At 55.9% G+C, this 18,699-nt stretch overlaps 2 protein-coding genes across 3 annotated transcripts, besides 10 other annotated features; one reads left to right on the top strand and one right to left on the bottom strand.

Moving 5' to 3' along the window:
- Window positions 1,277-1,829, top strand: PFN3 (profilin 3). Its single transcript, NM_001029886.3, has one exon. It carries the CDS (start codon window positions 1,362-1,364, stop codon window positions 1,773-1,775), a length of 414 nt encoding a protein of 137 aa, NP_001025057.1. The 5' UTR covers window positions 1,277-1,361; the 3' UTR covers window positions 1,776-1,829.
- SLC34A1 (solute carrier family 34 member 1) lies at window positions 3,090-17,504 on the bottom strand. 2 transcript variants are annotated; one of them, NM_003052.5, is made up of 13 exons: window positions 17,451-17,504; window positions 16,088-16,243; window positions 15,802-15,951; window positions 15,589-15,717; window positions 15,372-15,515; window positions 14,065-14,176; window positions 13,749-13,944; window positions 13,566-13,661; window positions 8,175-8,244; window positions 7,743-7,910; window positions 5,089-5,205; window positions 4,864-4,988; window positions 3,090-4,155 (listed from the first exon to the last, which is right to left on the bottom strand). In NM_003052.5, exons 2-13 carry the CDS (start codon window positions 16,194-16,196, stop codon window positions 3,652-3,654), a joined length of 1,920 nt encoding a protein of 639 aa, NP_003043.3. In that variant the 5' UTR covers window positions 16,197-16,243; window positions 17,451-17,504; the 3' UTR covers window positions 3,090-3,651. The 2 variants fall into 2 exon arrangements, with proteins under 2 accessions (NP_003043.3, NP_001161051.1); NM_001167579.2 differs by lacking the exons at window positions 3,090-4,155; window positions 4,864-4,988; window positions 5,089-5,205; window positions 7,743-7,910; window positions 8,175-8,244 and adding an exon at window positions 11,425-12,299.
- Window positions 3,883-4,058: a silencer, noted in NCBI's record as "fragment chr5:176824881-176825056 (GRCh37/hg19 assembly coordinates)". NCBI's record gives its function as "represses an EF-1alpha promoter that drives an FKBP-Casp9 reporter gene in an ReSE screen in HepG2 liver carcinoma cells {active_cell/tissue: HepG2}" and the evidence as "EXISTENCE:reporter gene assay evidence [ECO:0000049][PMID:32094911]".
- Window positions 5,279-5,934: an enhancer, noted in NCBI's record as "H3K27ac-H3K4me1 hESC enhancer chr5:176823005-176823660 (GRCh37/hg19 assembly coordinates)". NCBI's record gives its function as "activates a minimal SCP1, AML or CMV promoter by ChIP-STARR-seq in naive H9 embryonic stem cells {active_cell/tissue: H9 hESC(naive)}" and the evidence as "EXISTENCE:reporter gene assay evidence [ECO:0000049][PMID:30033119]".
- Window positions 9,750-12,563: an enhancer, noted in NCBI's record as "VISTA enhancer hs2229". NCBI's record gives its function as "enhancer in: trigeminal V (ganglion, cranial)[4/7]" and the evidence as "EXISTENCE:transgenic organism evidence [ECO:0001131][PMID:17130149]".
- Window positions 9,750-12,803: a biological region, named in NCBI's record as "VISTA enhancer hs2229".
- Window positions 10,949-11,028: an enhancer, noted in NCBI's record as "active region_23716". NCBI's record gives its function as "activates an Ori minimal core promoter by ATAC-STARR-seq in GM12878 lymphoblastoid cells {active_cell/tissue: GM12878}" and the evidence as "EXISTENCE:reporter gene assay evidence [ECO:0000049][PMID:35858748]".
- Window positions 11,604-12,803: an enhancer, noted in NCBI's record as "P300/CBP strongly-dependent group 1 enhancer chr5:176816136-176817335 (GRCh37/hg19 assembly coordinates)". NCBI's record gives its function as "activates an origin of replication core promoter dependent on BRD2, BRD4, P300/CBP, MED14 and CDK7 cofactors, with strong dependence on P300/CBP, by STARR-seq in HCT116 cells {active_cell/tissue: HCT116}" and the evidence as "EXISTENCE:reporter gene assay evidence [ECO:0000049][PMID:35650434]".
- Window positions 12,279-12,328: an enhancer, noted in NCBI's record as "active region_23715". NCBI's record gives its function as "activates an Ori minimal core promoter by ATAC-STARR-seq in GM12878 lymphoblastoid cells {active_cell/tissue: GM12878}" and the evidence as "EXISTENCE:reporter gene assay evidence [ECO:0000049][PMID:35858748]".
- Window positions 12,469-12,518: an enhancer, noted in NCBI's record as "active region_23714". NCBI's record gives its function as "activates an Ori minimal core promoter by ATAC-STARR-seq in GM12878 lymphoblastoid cells {active_cell/tissue: GM12878}" and the evidence as "EXISTENCE:reporter gene assay evidence [ECO:0000049][PMID:35858748]".
- Window positions 13,322-13,822: an enhancer, noted in NCBI's record as "H3K4me1 hESC enhancer chr5:176815117-176815617 (GRCh37/hg19 assembly coordinates)". NCBI's record gives its function as "activates a minimal SCP1, AML or CMV promoter by ChIP-STARR-seq in naive H9 embryonic stem cells {active_cell/tissue: H9 hESC(naive)}" and the evidence as "EXISTENCE:reporter gene assay evidence [ECO:0000049][PMID:30033119]".
- Window positions 13,823-14,323: an enhancer, noted in NCBI's record as "H3K4me1 hESC enhancer chr5:176814616-176815116 (GRCh37/hg19 assembly coordinates)". NCBI's record gives its function as "activates a minimal SCP1, AML or CMV promoter by ChIP-STARR-seq in naive H9 embryonic stem cells {active_cell/tissue: H9 hESC(naive)}" and the evidence as "EXISTENCE:reporter gene assay evidence [ECO:0000049][PMID:30033119]".

The following is an 18,699-nucleotide window of genomic DNA, read 5'->3' as shown; positions in this document are numbered from 1 at the left end:
GAGAAACTAACATTTTGTTTACAGAGCAGTAGTTCTCAGACCATACATTAAGATCACTTGGGGAGCGTTTTGAGCCAATCTATGCCCAAGTTCCACCTCAGACCAATTAAATCAGTATGTCTAGGGATGGGGCATGGGTAGTGGTATATTTGTAAAACTCCCCAGATAATTCCATGTACAGCCAAGGTTGAGAATCGTGGTTAGAAATACTTAGCATTGGCCGGGCGCGGTGGCTCACGCCTGTAATCCTAGCACTTTAAGAGGCCAAGGCAGGTGGATTGCTCAGGAGTTCGAAACCAGCCTGGGCAACACGATGAAACCCCGTCTCTACTAAAATACAAGAAATTAGCCGGGCACGGCGGCGTGCGCCTGTAGTCCCAGCTACTCAGGAGGCTGAGGCAGGAGAATCACTTGAACCGGCAGGAAGGAAGGAAGGAAGGAACAGAGGGAGGGAAAGAGAGAGACAGAAAGAAAAGAAAAAAGAAAATAGAAAAAAAGAGCATTGACTGTGGCGTGGACCCTAAGGGCTGGGTGACATATCGTTGTCCCCACCCCAACACGCACTAGTGTAGTGGGTCTGAGAGTCCCTTGGCTAGCAGTACCATCACCAGGGAACTTGTTACACATAACAAATTCTCGGGCTACACTTTATACTGCTGAACAGAAAGTCTGGGGTGGGGCCCAGCAATCTGTTTAACAGCCTTGCGGGGGATTCTGATGTTCTCTCATGCTTAAGAACCACAATCTGGGGGTTGAATGGTTGGTTCCCTTACAAGTGAAGGTCTGGCTGTCCAGACACAACATCCTTTTTTCACAAAACCAGCTTTTTAAAATTAAAAATAGATTGGCCAGATGCGGTGGTTCACGCCTGTAATCTCGTCACTTTGAGAGGCTGAGGCGGGAGGATTGTTTGAGCTCAAGACTTCCTGACCCGCCTGGGCAACATAGTGAGACCTCATCTCAAAAAAATTTTTTTTAATTAAAATTTGTTTTTGCTTTTTTAGAGACGGGGCCTCGCTCTGTGGCTCAGGCTGGCGTGCAGCGACACGATCCTATAATAGTTTACTATAATCTCGCTACTGAGTTCAAGCGATCCGCCCGCCTCGGCCTCCCAAAGCGCTGGGATTACAGGAGTGAGCCGCTGCGCTCTGCCAAACCCATCCTACAGGATAACCTTAGAACTGCGACAGCACTAAACGCCCACGCCCCACGTGCCCCAGCCTGGGTGGTCGCTCCGGGACGGCGCCTTGTGTGACGTCACAGCCCCGCCCAGCCTGCCTCACAGCGCCGCAGGCCTTCCCCGCGTGGCGCCTCTATATTTCCCCGAGAGGTGCGAGGCGGCTGGGCGCACTCGGAGCGCGATGGGCGACTGGAAGGTCTACATCAGTGCAGTGCTGCGGGACCAGCGCATCGACGACGTGGCCATCGTGGGCCATGCGGACAACAGCTGCGTGTGGGCTTCGCGGCCCGGGGGCCTGCTGGCGGCCATCTCGCCGCAGGAGGTGGGCGTGCTCACGGGGCCGGACAGGCACACCTTCCTGCAGGCGGGCCTGAGCGTGGGGGGCCGCCGCTGCTGCGTCATCCGCGACCACCTGCTGGCCGAGGGTGACGGCGTGCTGGACGCACGCACCAAGGGGCTGGACGCGCGCGCCGTGTGCGTGGGCCGTGCGCCGCGCGCGCTCCTGGTGCTAATGGGCCGACGCGGCGTACATGGGGGCATCCTCAACAAGACGGTGCACGAACTCATACGCGGGCTGCGCATGCAGGGCGCCTAGCCGGCCAGCCAGGCCGCCCACTGGTAGCGCGGGCCAAATAAACTGTGACCTGGGCGCGGCTGGCTCCTCCTCCACTTGCGCGGTGGGGGGAGTTGTAAATAAGGAAACTGGTCTTTGCAAGACGGTTACCTGGTGGAGCCGGGATTTTGAGTCTAGAGGCTGCCAGGCCCCTGTGCCCTACACCCTGCTCTCCCATGGACGCCTTGCAGAGGCTCCTGGCCTGACTGCTGCTCCTTGGCGCGTTCCCAGGGTCCTAGGGACTCCGCAGCTGAGGAAGAGTCCAAGGGTGGGGGCTTCTCAAAGTCTGTTTCAGCCTTAGCGTCCTTTCTCAGAGATATTCCCACACATTAGGCAGGACAAGTAAAGGGAGCCCCCTCCCCATCCCGCGAACACCTCTCCCCATCAGGGTGTCAGGCTGGAGGCCAATTTGCTCCTCCCCCCTCCACTCATACCTCAAGCACTAGCAAGTTGTGAGTGGGTGACAGGATGGGCTTGGTGGCTTGTAAAGCAGTTCTGGGGCTCACAGGCCTCTGCATCTCTGCCCACATTCCTCCAAGGGGAGCCTACTGAGAGGGCTCATGTCCAAGACCATCGCAATTGGGTTTGAGACCTTACATCCTGCCTTCCCCAGGCCTTCGAAAAGGCCCCGCAGGAGTCCCTGGACTAGAGGGAGGAACTCTGGCATCCCTACCCGGGAGTCTCACTCTGCAGGCCTCAGTTTCAGGGTGACCTATGGAGGAGGGGGAATTGAAAAGCTTGGGTAAGTTTGAGGCCTGGTTTATTGCCCAAAGATAGTGGACAAAAGTGGGAGGGAGGGTGTCTGGTCCCTGCCCTCCATGTGCTGGGGCCCAGGGCATGGCCTCTCTTGCCCACCCCCACCCTTCCCGTCCCCTCCCCCAGCGGCCCTGATGGCAGACCCCACCTGTCACTTATTCTGGAGCCCTGATCTTATCCCAGCAGGAAGGAGTGATGTGTGGCTGAGGTGGGTGAATTTAGAGGGCAGAGGGAGACCAGAGGAAGTTCAGCCAGGTGGGGGTCAGGGGGTGGGGGTGCAGAATCCTCCTTACACTTGCCTTGGGGGTGGCCCCAGGCCTAGGAGGGGCTTCCAGGGAGTTTGAATTGTGGTTTGGACTCACTAAGGTAGGGCCAGGCAGATGGTTGGGGTGAGCCTGCAGGGCTGGCTTCTCTGGAACTGCACCTGGCCTGGGCAGGGCAGGCTGCTCTTGCAGCCAGTCTTTGAGGGGAGATGGTGCTGCTGAACCCCCTGGCTTGGTCTTCCCTTTGCCATTGATGGAGAGCAAAAAGACTTCCGAATGCCTGAGGAGAGTTTTAATTCCTTTGTTTTTTTTCCATCAGGCAAGTGTTGGGAAGGGAATTAATTGTGGTGGTGCCGAAGACCTGGGTTAGGATGAGGAGATGGTATCTTGGAGGAAGGAAGGTGGCAAGGAGGTGTGCAAATTCAGTAACGCAGGCACCAACATCTATGCACAAACAGCTGCACAGTCATATACCCAGACCCACCCTTACTCCTGCCTATCCTAGTCATGTGTACACGTGCAGAGGACCTGAAATCATACCCAGATATCCTGCAGCCTGCACACAGCCTCCCACAGGTGTGTCTGTGTACACCTGCATGGGCTGGCACACCTGTACACAAATACAAGCTTCTACACATGACAGGTGCACATGCAGACTCACCCCCACACATGCACACACACCGACACTCTCACACAAGCCCAGAGCTTTGCGGAGCTACAGAAGGAGAGACTGGCACCCAGGGTGGCACAGGCACATGCACATACCTACACACACCCTCCCTCCCCTGCCTTTCCACCCCAGGCCTTCCCCATTCCAGGCTGTAGTCTGGGCCCACAGCCTAGAGGCGGGTGGCATTGTGGTGAGCAGGCAGTGCAAGACGGGGGGAGGGTGTGGCAGGGGGTAGCTCCTCCAGGAAGACCCTGGGGGGCAGCGGGGGTGAGCGGGGCTCAGGCCTGGCACAGCATAGGGTGGCGCGGGTGATGAGGTGGTCCAGGGGCTTCAGGGAGTGCATCCAGCGAGGCAGGAAGTCCCATGTCTGTAACCACTTGGGCAGGTGCCCGGGACTCCGACTCTGCAGGACATTGATGAGCACCACGAAGGCCAGCAGGGCCCCGAAGGGCGTGCCCACACCTACCATGACCTGCCAGCCTGCCATGGAGATGCCAAACACCAGTGAGGGCAGCAGCAGGAAGCAGACAAGGAGATAGAGGACGGCAAACCAGCGGTACTTGGCCGTGCGTTTCCCCAGCGCCTTGGCCATGCGGATGGGCAGGCGTGTGCAGGGCACCGGGTACCACAGAAGGATACCCGAGATGTTGAAGAAGAAGTGACAGAGGGCAATCTGCAGGGGATGAGGCAGAGGGGCTGAGATGGGCACTGGCTCCCAGGTCCTGTGTCAGGCCAGCAGGGGTAGATGATAGGAACCCCGATCTGGTCTGGGCAGCAGGAAAGTTTCCACTTAGGGGTGATGTGCCCCCTGCCCCGAGATCACCCCGAGGTGGCTATGCTGGCTATGCAAATATTGAAATACTTCTAGACCAGTTGGTAAATAACTACTGCCCTGAGCTCCCCACATTTTCCCCACTGACCCCTCGCACAGGAATCCCCCAGCAGATACTGCCAAAATCCAGCAGCTAAAGGATTGATGTCAGTTTCTGGACCCTCATTCAGTCAGTGCCTTGGCTTGTCAGTTACTCCTTTGCTCCTAGAATAATTCCCCTTTGCCATTTGCGGCCTTGACCCCCGCAATGGATTCCCCAAACTGCTCCAGGCCCTCTTTTGTAGTGCCTCTTCCTCTTCCTCTTCCTTATGGTGCAAATCCGACTCACTGCTATTTATTGGTGTAATTATGAGCAGTGTCTCCCTATTAGATGCTAAGGTCTCGAGGGTGGTATTGGGTCTACTTTGCCCATAATGGTTTCATTGAGCATATTAGGTGGCCCTTAGTAGGCAGTCAAAATATTTGTTCCATGTTGTCACACCTTTGTGAGGCCCCACACCCCAGAGGCAGCTCCATCCTGCCCCAGGCGAGGCTACACTCCCAGCGCACCTGGAAAGCGCTGGACAGCTTCTCCCTGGGGCTGGCCAGGGCAGCCAGGATGGCCGTGGTGGTGGTGCCGATGTTGGAACCCAGTGTGAGCGGGTAGGCCCTCTCAATGCTGATCACACCAAGACCTGGGGACAGAGGGAGAGGAAGTGGGACCCCCAGCGTCTCCTTCGGCCCTTTCCCTGCCAGCCCTGGCCCACCCCACTCCACCTCTACATGGGCACTCACCGATGAGTGGGGTGATGGCCGAGGTGAACACAGAACTGCTCTGGACCACGAAGGTCATGCTGGCGCCCACCACCATGGCAAAGTAGCCTGTGACCCAGGTGAAGGGGGCAGGGAAGTCTGCAAGGAAACCGCATCCCAGCAGGCTGGGGTCAGAGCGGGGACATTGGGAGAGCAGACCTCCGCGGGGGCACTGGGAGAGCGGACCTCCGCGGGGGCACTGGGAGAGCGGATCTCCGCGGGGGCACTGGGAGAGAGGACCTCCGCGGGGGCACTGGGAGAGAGGACCTCCGCGGGGGCACTGGGAGAGCGGACCTCCGCGGGGGCACTGGGAGAGAGGACCTCCGCGGGGGCACTGGGAGAGAGGACCTCCGCGGGGGCACTGGGAGAGCGGACCTCCGCGGGGGCACTGGGAGAGCGGATCTCCGCGGGGGCACTGGGAGAGACGACCTCCATGGGGGTTTGCTCCCACTGCAGTTGCTTCCACTTGGCCTCTTTGCTCCTGGATTGAAGGCCTTTCTCAGCCTGGCTCCGTCAGGCAACTGTGCCTTTGATGGGGCTGTTCCCTCTGCTGGGAATATCCTACTCAGCATCTGAATATTCATCCTCAGACTCAGCATGGATGTCACTTCCTCTGGAAAGCCTTCCCTGACCCCCTGCTCTGGAGCAGACTTTTTCTCCCTTCTCTGAGCTCCCACAGCCCCATGATACCCCTTATTCTAGTACTTGTCATGCAGCCCCTCCCAGTGCATGAAGTTTAAAATGAAAACCAAGGCTGGGCAAGGTGGCTCACACCTATAATCCCAGCACTTTGGGATGCTGAGTTGGGTGGATCACCTGAGGCTGGGAGTTCGAGACTAGCCTGACCAACATAGTGAGAGCCCATCTCTATAAAAAAAATTTATGGTTAATAGGAAGAGGCTGGGCATGGTGGCTCACACTTGTAATCCCAGCACTTTGGGAGGCCAAGGCGAGAGGTTCACTTGAGGCCAGGTATTCAAGACCAGCCTAGCCAACATGGCAAAACCCTGTCTCTACTAAAAATACAAAAATTAGCTGAGTGTGGCGGTGCACACCTGTAATCCCAGTTTACTCAGGAGACTGAAGTGGGAGGATCACTTGAACCTGGGAGGCAGAGGTTGCAGTGAGCTGAGATTGCACCACTGCACTCCAGCCTGGGTGACAAAGTAAGACTCTGTCTCAAAAAACAAAAAAGGGAAAATGAAAATCAAATGGTGTTGCTCCCTTACCCCAAGTCTTCTGAGTGCTCATGTTACCCTCAATAAAGTCCAGGCTCTGAGCAGAGCCTGGAGACCCCATGCTCTGGCCCCTTCCGTGCCACCTCACTGACCCCACTCAGGCAATCCCTTACCCTGCTCCTGCCAGCTACTGGCCACCCTTCTGTGCCACGGACCTGCCATGCTGGTTCCTGCCTCTGAGCCTTTGCACATACTGTTCCTCCACCCAGAGTGCTCTTCATCCGCATCGTGGCTACTTGTGTCTGTTCAAATGCCAACTGCACTGAGCGGCCTCAAACAGCGCATTGGAAACCGTCTCTTCCACACCCTACTGCACTGCCATTTTTGCTATGTCCTTGGCAGGTACCTCTCTCTGAATTTATCCCCCTAATTCATTTTCCTTCCTATTCCTAATTCATTTTCTTTTTCTATTTTTATTTATTTATTTATTTTTGAACTCTGTTGCACAGGTCGGAGTGCAGTGGTGCCATCATAGCTCACTGCGGCCTCAACCTGCTAGGCTCAAGCGATTCTCCCACTCAGCCTCCTGGGTACCTGGGACTATAGGAGCACACCACCATGCCCAGCTAATTTTAAAATTTTTTGTAAAGACAAAAGTCTCGGCCGGGCACGGTGGCTCATGCCTGTAATCCTAGCACTTTGAGAGGCTGAGGCGGGTGGATCATCAGGTGAGGAGTTTGAGACCAGCCTGGCCAACATGGTGAAACCCTGTCTCGACTAAAAATACAAAAAATTAGCCGGGTGTTGTGGCCGGCACCTGTAATCCTAGCTACTCGAGAGGCTGAGGCAGGAGAATCACTTGAACCCTGGAGGTGGAGGTTGCAGTGAGCCAAGATCATGCCATTGCACTCCAGCCTGGGCAATAAGAGTGAAATTGTCTCAAAAAAAAAAAAAAAAAAAAAAAAGACAAAGTCTCACTATGTTGCCCAAGCTGGTCTTGGACTCCTGGGCTCAAGTGATCCTGCTGCTTCAGCCTCCCAAAGTGCTGGATTTACAGGTGTGAGCCATTTGCCAATCTCATGTATTTTTCATTGCTTTCCTCCCCCTGCTGGGCTGTGAGCCCCTCAGGGCAGGACCCAACTCTGTTTGTCTCACCTCTGTATACCTGGCACTACACCTCCCTTGTCACACAATGGGGGCTTAAGTACTCTTTGTTGATTGAATCAAACAATGGTCCTTGAGCATCTCCACCTGCTAAAATGGAACCACAGCCAGAGGCGGCCACAGGTCTCCAGCTGTCAGTACCTCAGTGGCCTCAGAAACCACCTTCTTTGTTCACATCGGGAAACTGAGTCTCAGAGATGGTAGGGTTTACCCAGATCAAGGCAGTCACAGGACTTAGCAGGATCTGGAAAGGCCCATCCTGTGGCCCTGCCCAGTCAACTGCTCGCAGCTCACCCGTATTGATGACCTTCTGGATGACCTTGGCCACTTGGCCCTTGAGCAGGGAGTTGAGCATCTTGACTAGGAGGATGAGGCAGGTGCACAGCAGCACCAGGGATCCTGCCAGCAGGATGAGCCCCACAGCCAGGTCCGGTAGGCCAGTGTCCACAAAGATGTGGTTGCCTGCAGGGGGTGGAGCTCCTGACAGCTGACCCCACACCTGGCTCCCAGGTCCCCACCTTTGCCACCCAGTTGGGCTCTGATCCTAAGGCCCCATCTCAGGCTCCTTGAGCCTCAACACCGGAGCTTGACCCAGGCTCAGGAGCTGGGCTAGTTGACAGCCATGCTTCCTGGGGCTGGACACAATAGTGGCTGTGTGGGATTGCCCTGCCACTGCTAGGCTCTGCCCCTGCCATGCAGGACACCTCCCATGTTGCAGGCACTTACATTTCTCCATGGTGGCATTTCCAAGGGTCTGGCTGGAGTTGGCCTCTGCTCTGGACATGGAGGTGGGAGCCTAGATCAGGAGGAGGGTGACTTAGTGAATTAGGAAAACACAGCCTGAGGTTGGGGCTGAGATGGGAGTTAGGGAGAGATGGGGAAGATGGAGATGGGCCTCCTGCTCTGTGACCATGGATGGGTCTCTTGCCCTCTCTGAGCCTGTCTCTTCCACTGAGGACATGTGGATGAAAGTGCCTGCCACACAAGAATCTGGTCCTCTGTGTGTTCTGCCCTGTCACTCCACTGGCCCAGCTCTCCCTGGGGCCACATCCAGTGGCTTCCTGTCTTTCTTTTCCTCCCTCTCTCAGTGGCATTGGGTGCTGCTGAACATGTTCCTCTTTTTCTGAAAACTCCCCCTTCCTCATCTTTTATTACCCATCCCTTTCTCGGTGCCCCTTCCCCAGCATCCTGGCTCCTTCCTCTCCTCCAAGACACCCTTAGCTCAAGCTCCATTCTCCTCTAGATCAATTCCTTATCCTCAGGGGGTGTAAGGGGACAGAGGGCCCAGCCCACACGTCTCTTCTGCCCACCTACTGTCAGTGAGACAAAGGGGCTCCCCAGGGAGGCCCTACAATTCAGAAGGCCACAGGTCCGGGCCGGTAACCTAAGTGAGCAGCTCGGGCTGTGTGTGGAAGAGGTGGGGAGAGTTTCTGCTGGGCCTGTAGAGTCAGCAGTAGCTACTCAGCTCCTGATCACTGTCACCATCCAGGGACGCAGCCTAGTGTGGCTAAATTGCCCAATTTCTATGAGAAAAGCCACAACTCTGAAGTTCTAGATGAAATCTCCCAATCTGGGCCAGGTGCAGTGTGGCTCATGGCTGTAATCCCAGCACTTTGGGGGGCTGAGGTGAGAGGATTACTCGAGGCCAGGAGTGGGAGGCCATCTTGGGCAACATAGCAAGACCTTGTCTCCACAAAGAAAATTAGGGCATGGTGGTGTACACCTGTAGTCCTAGCTACTCAGGAGGTTGGAGCAGGAGGATCTCTTGAGCCCAGGTGGTCGAGGCTGGAGTGAGCTATGATCATGCCCCTGCACTCCAGCTTGAGTGACAGAGCAAGACCTTATCTCAAAAAATGAAAAACTCCCGAAAGCAACAAACTCCCAATCTGTAAATATTGGCGACCACTTTGAGTTATCTTTTACAATTCAATGAAGGTCAGCAGAAGCAGGCCAGTCTGGCCTGTGGACAACTCATTTGTAGCCTTGTTGGGTTAAGAAGTTATTTATTTATTTATTTATTTATTTTGAGACAGAGTTTTTGTTCTGTTGCCCAGTCTGGAGTCCAGTGGCACAATCTCGGCTCACTGCAACCTCCGCCTCCTGGGTTCAAGCGATTCTCCCGCTTCCACCTCCCGAGTAGCTAGGGTTACAGGCCCCTGCCACCACGCCCAGCTAATTTTTTGTATTTTTAGTAGAGATGGGGTTTCGCCATGTTGGCCAGGCTGATCTCGAACTCCTGACCTCAGGTGATTCACCCACCTCGGCCTCCCAAGGTGCTGGGATTACAGGTGTGAGCCACCATGCTGGCCAAGGTAAGAACTTTTATGGCGTCTGGTGTAACATCCGGGTTTATTTTAGCGGGATGTGCTCCCTTGAATGGGGCAATGTGCTCTTCTGTGCTCCCAGTTCGCCACATCAGGGCCTTGGGGACCCATCAAGACTGGGCCTGAATGGCAGGCCAAGAAGCCTGGAAAAAATAGGCTGCGATGGGCTAGATGAGAAAACCAGGCTGGGAAAGCAACGGTAACTGCTGCGAGGGTAAGGGAGAGAGAGAGCCAGGTGTTTGCTGTTAGGCAGATCTGAGTTCAAATCCTGCTTCTTATACCAACCACCCTGGGTAAGCCATGCCACCTCTCAGAGCCTGTTTTCTCTAACGCAGGATAATAGAGGAGCTGCTGTAAAGGTTACAGGGGGAATGTGTTTAAAGCGCTCATCACAGGGCTTGGCTCATCATGAGCCTTCGGTAAACTGTCTTCTGATATGGAGTGACCCTCTCCCTCGCTGGGCCCGTTCAGGATCACATGGTTGGGAGGCTGTGTGTGTGACTGACTTCCTAGGTCAGGACCAGTGGCCCCTGCAGATGAACCTGAGAACCCTAGCCCTGTTGGGGAGGAGCCTGCTGGACCTTCCTGGGAGTACCCAGCCTGGATGCTGAGGTAGCAGACAACCCCTTGAATGAGTAGGTGCCTGGTCAACGTGTGCCCCACTGACCTAACCTGGGCTGGGCCCAGTGGTCTCTGTGGGGAGGACTGTGGGACCCTGCGAAGGCTGGAGGAGAATGGGGAACTTTACTGGGGTCCCAACTTAGGGCTGGCAGAGGCAGCAGCAGGGCCAAGCCCTCTGGGTTTTTAGAACCTTGACCTTCTTGCCTGGGACTGTGTGGCCCTGGCTGGGAGCCCAGAGACCCTAAAGTACAAGAGAGGAAGGTAAAGCTGGCAGGAGGGACAAAGCCAGGCAGAGAGTGAACTGCCGGGAGGGAGCAGGCCCTGGGGCTTCCCTGTGGGGCAGAGGGAGAAGATGGAAACTCCAGCTTAGATAAAAGAGCTGGGAGGCCCAGGATCTGGGGGCATCTTCCCAAGATGTGCCCATCCCTGCCTGGGCCTGGGGTGGGGTAGGAGAGGCTGGAGGGGCCTGAAGCGGGTGGTGGGCTCTGTGGGAAGAACAGAATGGGCCTGTGGACAGCCCTGGGCCCATACCCCAGCTGAGCCGTTCCCAGCTGTGTGTCACCAGAGCAAACACTTAGCCTCTCTGGGCCTCAGTTTCCTCCTCTGCAGCATGAAGTCCATAATGCTACCCACCTTTTCCCAGGGGCTAGTTGGAAGCATTTTGGAAGAGGGAGTTGGGATTTAAGTGCCTATAGGGACACCCTAAATTAAAGAGGCCCCTTCTGGGGACTGAAGGAGGTGATTAAGCTCACAGGAGACTGTCAGGATGTGGGCCAGCGCAGCAGTTTCCCCCTCAGAGGAAGGGGAGCTCTAGGGCCTTTGTTCTTCTGGAAGCCGAGGGAGAGCACTGTGCCAGCAGCACCACCTGGTGGCGAAAAGGAGAACTTCTCCTTAGAGCAACACCCGCTATCTCTGGAGTCGTCTCCACGTGGCTATGGTCACCTGGTGGCCTTCAGGCCTGATGGGCAGCATGGGAAGCAGACATACATAGTAGAATGTCAGACCGGTGAGTGAGAGAGGCAACGAGATAGTCAGGATTCTACCAGGATTTGTATCCTACCTCAATTACATGGACTTGGGCAAGCCACTGCACTTCTCTGGGGCTCAGTGCTCCTCGTCTGTAAAATGGGGACGTGATAATCCCTGCCTCCCAGGTTGCAAGTCCTCAAAAGATGCTTGTTTAATCCAGGCAGGTATAGTTGACAGTCCACAGTGTGGCCACATAAGAAGGTGATTCCCAGGACGGTGTCAGGGTCCCGGGAGACTCAAGTGTCTGATCACTCAACTGCCGCTGCTGCTGCTTTCCCCATCTGGTAGGCCTTGGACTTGCCTCCTCTCCCTGGTGCATAGCTTCCCTGGAGACTGTTTCGGGCTGGTTCAGGTCCAGCATGGTGAAAGTTGGCGTCAATGGGAACAGGTTGGAAGGGAGCACGGGGAGACTCTGTGGCCCGTCTTTGGGCAGGAAGAGCCAGGACGCACTTCACACTTTGCAAGACCAAGCACATCCACTGCTGTGTGAGTCACACTCCTTCGGGGCGCTGTCCCAGAAAGGGGATGAAAGTGAGAGCTTGGGTCCCACCCACCAGCTACTCTCCAAGCCGAGGAAATGAGACCCTGCCCTGCAGAAAGCGTTTAAGGAAAGCATTTCCTGGTAGAGTGAGGAAGAGAAACCAGCTGGACAAGTGTCAGCTGCAGCCGTAGAGAAAGGCCCAAGGGCGGCCTCCCCAGAGTGAACCTGGGTGAGGATGACTTCAAGTGAGGACGTGGAGGCTGCTGGTTGAGATCTGCCGGAAGCTGCAGTAGGTGGCCGGCAGGGAGCTCAGGGGCAGTGAGGAACAGAGCTGTCTTCCATGGCTTGCTTTTTGCGAAGATCAAAGTGTGTGATTTCTCTCCCTTCCAGATTTTGCTATGAAGTAGAGAGGCTTGTGGTGAGTCAGAGAGCACTAAGAGTGCTCAGAGAGCTCGTGAGAAAGTGGTTGATGTATTAAAGAGGTCATGAAGTCAGCGTAAAAGCTGCCCGCAGGGGTTTTTTTTTATGTAAGGCTGCTTTGAACACTCAGAGGCTGAGCTGGAGCAACTTCAGATGCAAAGGAGCATCGCAGGGCGAGTCAGATGAGTGTTTTCTGTTCGCACCAGGGTAAAGGTCCAGTCACAAGAAGCAGCAAGGGGAAGGGGAAGGGGAAGGGGAAGGGGAAGGGCTTGTGCTGTGCTGTGCTGTGCTGTGGCTTGGATTTCCTCGTATCTCATTGTAAATGGAGTTATGTCTCACATGCAAGCATCAGGGAGAAGCAAATATGGTGCATTGTGGTTTGGATGAAGCATTTGCCTTTTCACAGCTGAGTAAGGAAGTGTGCTAATTGCCTGCTTCCTCATCAGCCTGGCATAATGGGTGGTCCATGAGCATCCACTTGATTCAAACAGATCTTCCCAGTATTAGAAGCAGCAGAAACAGTGCAGAAGGACAAGGGACTCCCGCCTGTGGCAGTCTCCAGGAGAAGGAACCCCCGATGCCAGCACAAGCGGCTGTTAACATCTCCAAGGAGTTCTCCACGCAGCTCACCTTCCTGTTACTTTCCTTGGTATCCTTATAGCACTCTGCCTCTTCCCCACGTTACCTGGGTCCCAAAACATGGCCCAGCTGAGTCACTAACCCCTCTAGGGTGCTCAGGCCCTGACATGGTAGGATAAGCTCTGGCACGTTTCTTAGCCTCTCTGAACCTGTGTCTCTACCTGTGAAACCCAAGGGTTGCGCTGGATCAGCGGTTCTCAAACTTGAGCACTGAGCACACCTAGAGGAACTGCTGAAGCATAGGCCATTGGCCCCGCTCCCAGGGGTTTCCAGATTCAGTAGGTCTAGGGAAGGGCAGGGTGATTTGCATCTCTAATAGGTTCCCACACGGCACACAAGATGCTGGCCTGGGACCACACTTCAAGAACCACTGGGCTAGATCAATTACATAACAACTTTAATTGATTGGTGATGTCTGCCTAAGGCGATGTGGGAAGTTGGGAGGAATTAGCAATGTTAACTGTAAGCACAGTAGAAGGGCCACATATTTGCCCTCTCCTGGCTAAATGATCTTCAAGGTCTATCTGGAGCATTTTGAACAGACAATGAAACCAAGAGTCTGAAGAGGGAGTCCTCTTACCTGGGGTTAGGCCTGGGACTCACCTGTAAGGAGTCTGGGTGGCACCAGATCTGGATGAGACTGTGGTTCCTCAGGGACTCATCACCAGTGGCAATGCTGGTTATCACAGACTCGTCCAGCTGTGGGCAAGATGTGGGCAGGGGGAGTGAAGGAGGCTGGGTCCCTTGTTACCCCCACCCTCACCCCATGCCAGGCCCTGCTGTCACCTGGATGATGAGCTTCGTGAAGGGCTCTGTGATGATCTTGAGCAGGTCAGGAGCATCACGGCCACCATGGATGTTGAAGGAGGCCACCACAAGTCGAGTGATGTGGTGCAGGTAGCCAGTGGCAGCCTCCAGGGGCAGCAGGACCAGCACTGACAGCCAGTTAAAGCAGTCATGCACCGTGGCCCCCGCGAAGGCCCTGGGCAGGGAGGCCACATTGCAAGGCAGGCTCGAGCCAGTGCACAGTCACGCCTGGGGTTCCTGGCATCTGGGGCTGTCCTCCCCCAGGCACGAGCCCCCAACCCCCAGCCCCCCTCACCGCCGGAAGTCAGTCCTGTCCCCCGCCTGCATCAGGGCCACGATGGTGTTGGTGACAGAGGTGCCGATGTTGGAGCCCATGATGATGGGGATGGCAGAGCTCACCTCCAGCACTGGTAGAAGAGAAGACGTCCTAATGAATTTGACGGTCACCCAGCTCCTGCACCACCACAACTCCTGTCAGGCCCCCCACCCACGTCCCAGTCCCCAGTGGCCGCTCCTGCCATGCTGCTGAGTCTGCCTAACGTTGGCGTCACAGGTGCATGTGGGCACGGGCTGTGCGTTTACAGGTGTGTGCATTCATCCATGCGAGTAGATGTACACGTGCTGCACATGGTGTATGGATGTGAACGTGTGTGCGTGTGAGGCCTTCGTTATGAGGGCTCGTGGGCTCATGTCCTATGTGCAAATAGAGATTTGTGCTTGTGTGTGCACACATGCCCCAGAGTGTGATGGTTAGTTTTTTTGTTTGTTTGTTTTGAGACAGAGTCTCGCTCTGTCGCCCAGGCTGGAGTGCAGTGGCATGATCTCGGCTCACTGCAAGCTCTGCCTCCTGGGTTCATGCCATTCTCCTGCCTCAGCCTCCTGAGTAGCTGGGACTGCAGACACCTGCCACCACGCCTGGCTAATGCTTTTTGGTTTTTGTTGTTTTTTTTTTTTGTATTTTTAGTAGAGACAGGGTTTCACCGTGTTAGCCAGGGTGGTCTCGATCTACTGACCTCGTGATCTGCCCCCCTCAGCCTCCCAAAGTGCTGGGATTACAGGCATGAGCCACTGCGCCCGGCCAGTGATGGTTAGTTTTATGTGTCAACTTAGCTAGGCTGTGGTACCCAGTTATTCAACCCAACACTAGCCTGGGTGTTCTGTAAGGTGTTTTGTAGATGCAATTCACGTCTACAGTCAGCTGACTTTAAGAAAAGGAGATTATCCTTGGTAACCTGGGTCAGCCTAATCCAATAGAATGAAAGGCCTCAAGCAGAACTGAGGCTTCCCTGAGAAAGGAGAAACGCTGCCCTGTCTGGACTGCAGTGTCGGCGCCCACCTGAGAGTTCCCGCCTGCCCTTCCAATGCCCTGGCCTACGGATTCCTGACTTGCCCAGACAAACTACCATCGGGGAAGCCAGTTCCTTGCCATAAATCATCTGGGTCACATACAGCTACAGTTGGGCTCCTCTCATGTCCCTGGCTGATACAGGAGTCAAGCTGAATGGAGGCCAGCCTTACTGGGGTCACGCTCCCCATTTGCCACCCTTCCCAGCTCCTGGGGTGCCCCTCCAAGCTCTTCCCCACCCTGGTGGGCCAACTCACAGCCAGAGGAGACCATGCTGACGATGATGGATGTGGAGGTGCTGGAGCTCTGCACCAGCACGGTCACCAGGATCCCCACCACCAGCCCGGCCACCGGGTTGGACAGGATGGCGTTATCCTTGAAGATGTCACCAGCCACCTTCCCTGGGGAGCATGAGCCAGCGTTGTCCAAGGCCCTTCAGGAACCCCTCCCAGGTCTCCTCCACCCGGGCCCTACCTCCAGCCAGCTGGAAGGCCGAGCTGAGCATGTCCAGGGAGCAGACGAAGAGGTAGAGGAAGGTGAGCATCAGTGGCACCTTGAGCAGCATGGCGCCAGCCTGGCGCAGCTTGGGGACCAGCCTGGACTCTGGATGGGGGAAGCCATGAGCATAGTGGGCAGAGGCCAGGGCAGGGACTGCTGCCGCCTCTGCCACCCCCAGCCCAGGCCCACCTGGCTTCTGCTCCTCCTCCAGGGCCAGCTTGGCAGGCAGTGGTTCATGGCGCTCCAGGACCTCCCCACAGGGGCAGGTGTGCTCAGCAAGGGCCACAGGGCCCAGGCTGGGGAAGGCATAGGCAGAGGTCCCCGGGATCCTGTGTAGGACTAGGGAGGGAGCCTGGTCAGGAGCCCCAGGGCCCCAAAGTGGGGAGGCGGGGAGGAACAGGCGGGGGAAGTGGCCTCATCCGGGATGTGGGCAACCGTGGGCAACCAGGGTCCAGGGTGTGGGAGCAGCACTTACCCTGAGGGCTGGGCACGTAGGCAAAGGCCGTCCCTCGCATCACATGCCCCCCACGGACTGGGAGTGGGGAGACAGCAGGGGACCCCAGCCTCTCTCCGTAGGACAACATCCTGGGCACCCACTATGAGGTCTGCAGGTCAGTGGGTCTCAGCAACGCTGAATGACAATAGCTGTGTCCGGGACACTCATGCCCACACACCCTCACCTGCACAAACCCCCATGGCGCATGATTCCAAATACACACCTAGCAAAGCACACCCTCCATCCTCACCACACACACACACCCCTCCGAGACTCACACGCACAAACACACACCCAGCAAACCACACCCTCCATCATCACCACCACAGCCCTCCGAGACTCACATGCAGACTCACATGTGCACATCTGTGCTGGGCACCTGCATGTGAGTCTCGGAGGGGTGTGTGTGGTGGTGGTGAGGTGATCATTCATTCACCATTCACTCATTCAATGAGTATTATTGAGCTCTAGCCCAGGCTCCGAACCAGAGGCTTGGATATAGCATTGATAAAAGACACTGAGAACTGAGGACGCCCAGCCTGTTTGGGGCTGGAGGGGGCCAGGGAATACGTGGTGTTGGCAGTGGCTGCAGGTGTGGGCTGGGGCTGGGCCGGGCTTCAGTTTTGCCCACCTGGAGAGCAAGGAGGAGCTGCAGACACCTGCCTTCTCATGGGGTCAGCTGGGCACACACGGAGATCCCCTGGGCCGGATCCCGAGTTCCTGGGTTCCCCTCACAATGAATTCCTTTCCCCATCCACCCCCTCAAGGGGCAATGAACAAACACTGACAGGCTTGCCTCAGCCCCCCCTTGTCCCCGCACTGCCCCAGGAGTCTTGGCTATTGGGGTGGAGTGCCCTGATCTGCCTCAGCACTCCCCGCATTGTCCCAGCGTCCTTGGCTGTTGTAGGGGTGTGAAGAGTTGAATTCAAGTCCTGAAGGAGCAGGAGTCCTTTTTTTTTTTTTTTTTGAGATGGAGTTTCACTCTTACCGCCCAGGCTGGAGTGCAGTGGCACAATCTTGGCTCACTGCAACCTCTGCCTCGTGGGTTCAAGCGATTCTCCTGCCTCAGCCTCCCAAGTAGCTGGGATTACAGGTGCCTGCCACCACACCTGGCTAATTTTTTGTATTTTTAGTGCAAACTCGACCTCAGGTGATCCGCCCACTCGGCTTCCCAAAGTGCTGGGATTACAGGTGGGAGCCACCGCGATTGGCTGGACTGACATGTTATATGGGGCGCGGTGGGGGTGGGCGCAGATAGGACACAGATGAAGGGGCTGGGGTGCTGGGCTGTTTCCTACTCAGAGCTGGGGGTGGGGTTGGGATGTGAGGGTCCTGGGCTCACCTTAGAATTCTGTGTTTCAGCTTCTGCTCAGCAGCTCAATGAAGCCTCCAGGACCCTGAGGAGAACTGAGACCCTCCTCTTTATACTCTTGGGTCAAGGGCAAAGTCCCTGGAACCCTAGCTGCCCTCCCTCTGTCCCCCAATTAACCTCACCCCTGAGATTCCTCCCAGTTAATTGCTAATCGTCAGCTCTGCATGGGGAATCTATGGTCAGGTTCTTCCCATCAACCACGACCCAGACACATCCCCCGCCTGCAGGCAGAGACCCTGATGCCACTCAGCACCTTGTTCCCAGGGTCCCCTCGTTCCTGGCCTGACAGGACTCCCCAGGGAATGACCCAAACATCCTATGGCCTTCGGAGGTTGCAGTGAGCCAAGATCGTGCCACTGCACTCCAGCCTGGGTGACAGAGTGAGACTGTCTCAGAAAAACCAAACCAAACCAAACAAAAACATCCTATGGCCTTGCCAAGCGTCGGGGTGTCTGTAAGTCTCCCAGGGGGAGCTCAGAGGAGAGGGAGTGTGAGATGAGGACCTAAGCTGGAAAGGCCGTGGAATGTTGAATCGTGGCAGGTCTCTAATGCCCGACCATGGGTCCAGGATGTGAGTCTGAGTGAATGTGGAGCCGCTGGCCAGACTGGGATGGGCCTGATCTGCCTTTTAGAATGGCCCCCGGGGTGGAACCCGGATATATGGAAGGGAGCCTGGAAGCGGAGGGGCCAGTTAAGAGGCTAATGGTCCAGGCAGGAGATGATGAGGCCTGAACTCCGATGGGAACGGAGGGGCTGGGGAGGACAGGTGCATCCCAGGGACATCTGACCAGTAGAATTGGTGACGGGGAGGGAGAGAGGAAAAGGAAATAGATGGGAGTCGGGTCTCTGGATCTTTGGCTAGGGCTGGGTTCATGCCCAGGTAGGAGGGTGTCGCTGAGTCACGGAAATGCAATCAGTTCTCAGTTCTTGTGTCAGAATCTCTGGGTCCTTGGGCTTGAAGGTGCTGTTAATGTCACATCGAGTGTCTCCACCTATGAGCAAACTGACACCCCCACAGCGGGCCCAGAGACCCCGGCCCACGTGACCTGTTTCTCTCCATTCCCCCGTGCAGTTCAGACCCTTGGCAGGAGCAGCTGAATCCAAGGTGCTCCTGGTGAACTGGGGGTGTTTCTCCTTTTTAATAAGGTTGTGCTTTTTGATATTTTTGAAGTTTGCCTTCCCTGCTGTCACGGAGCTCTGGGTTTAGTGGGGGAGGCAG

The sequence above is a fragment of the Homo sapiens genome, chromosome 5 (genome assembly GCF_000001405.40).
Source record: "Homo sapiens chromosome 5, GRCh38.p14 Primary Assembly".
Lineage (NCBI taxonomy): Eukaryota > Metazoa > Chordata > Mammalia > Primates > Hominidae > Homo > Homo sapiens.
This window is presented reverse-complemented; position numbering and strand designations above follow the sequence as displayed.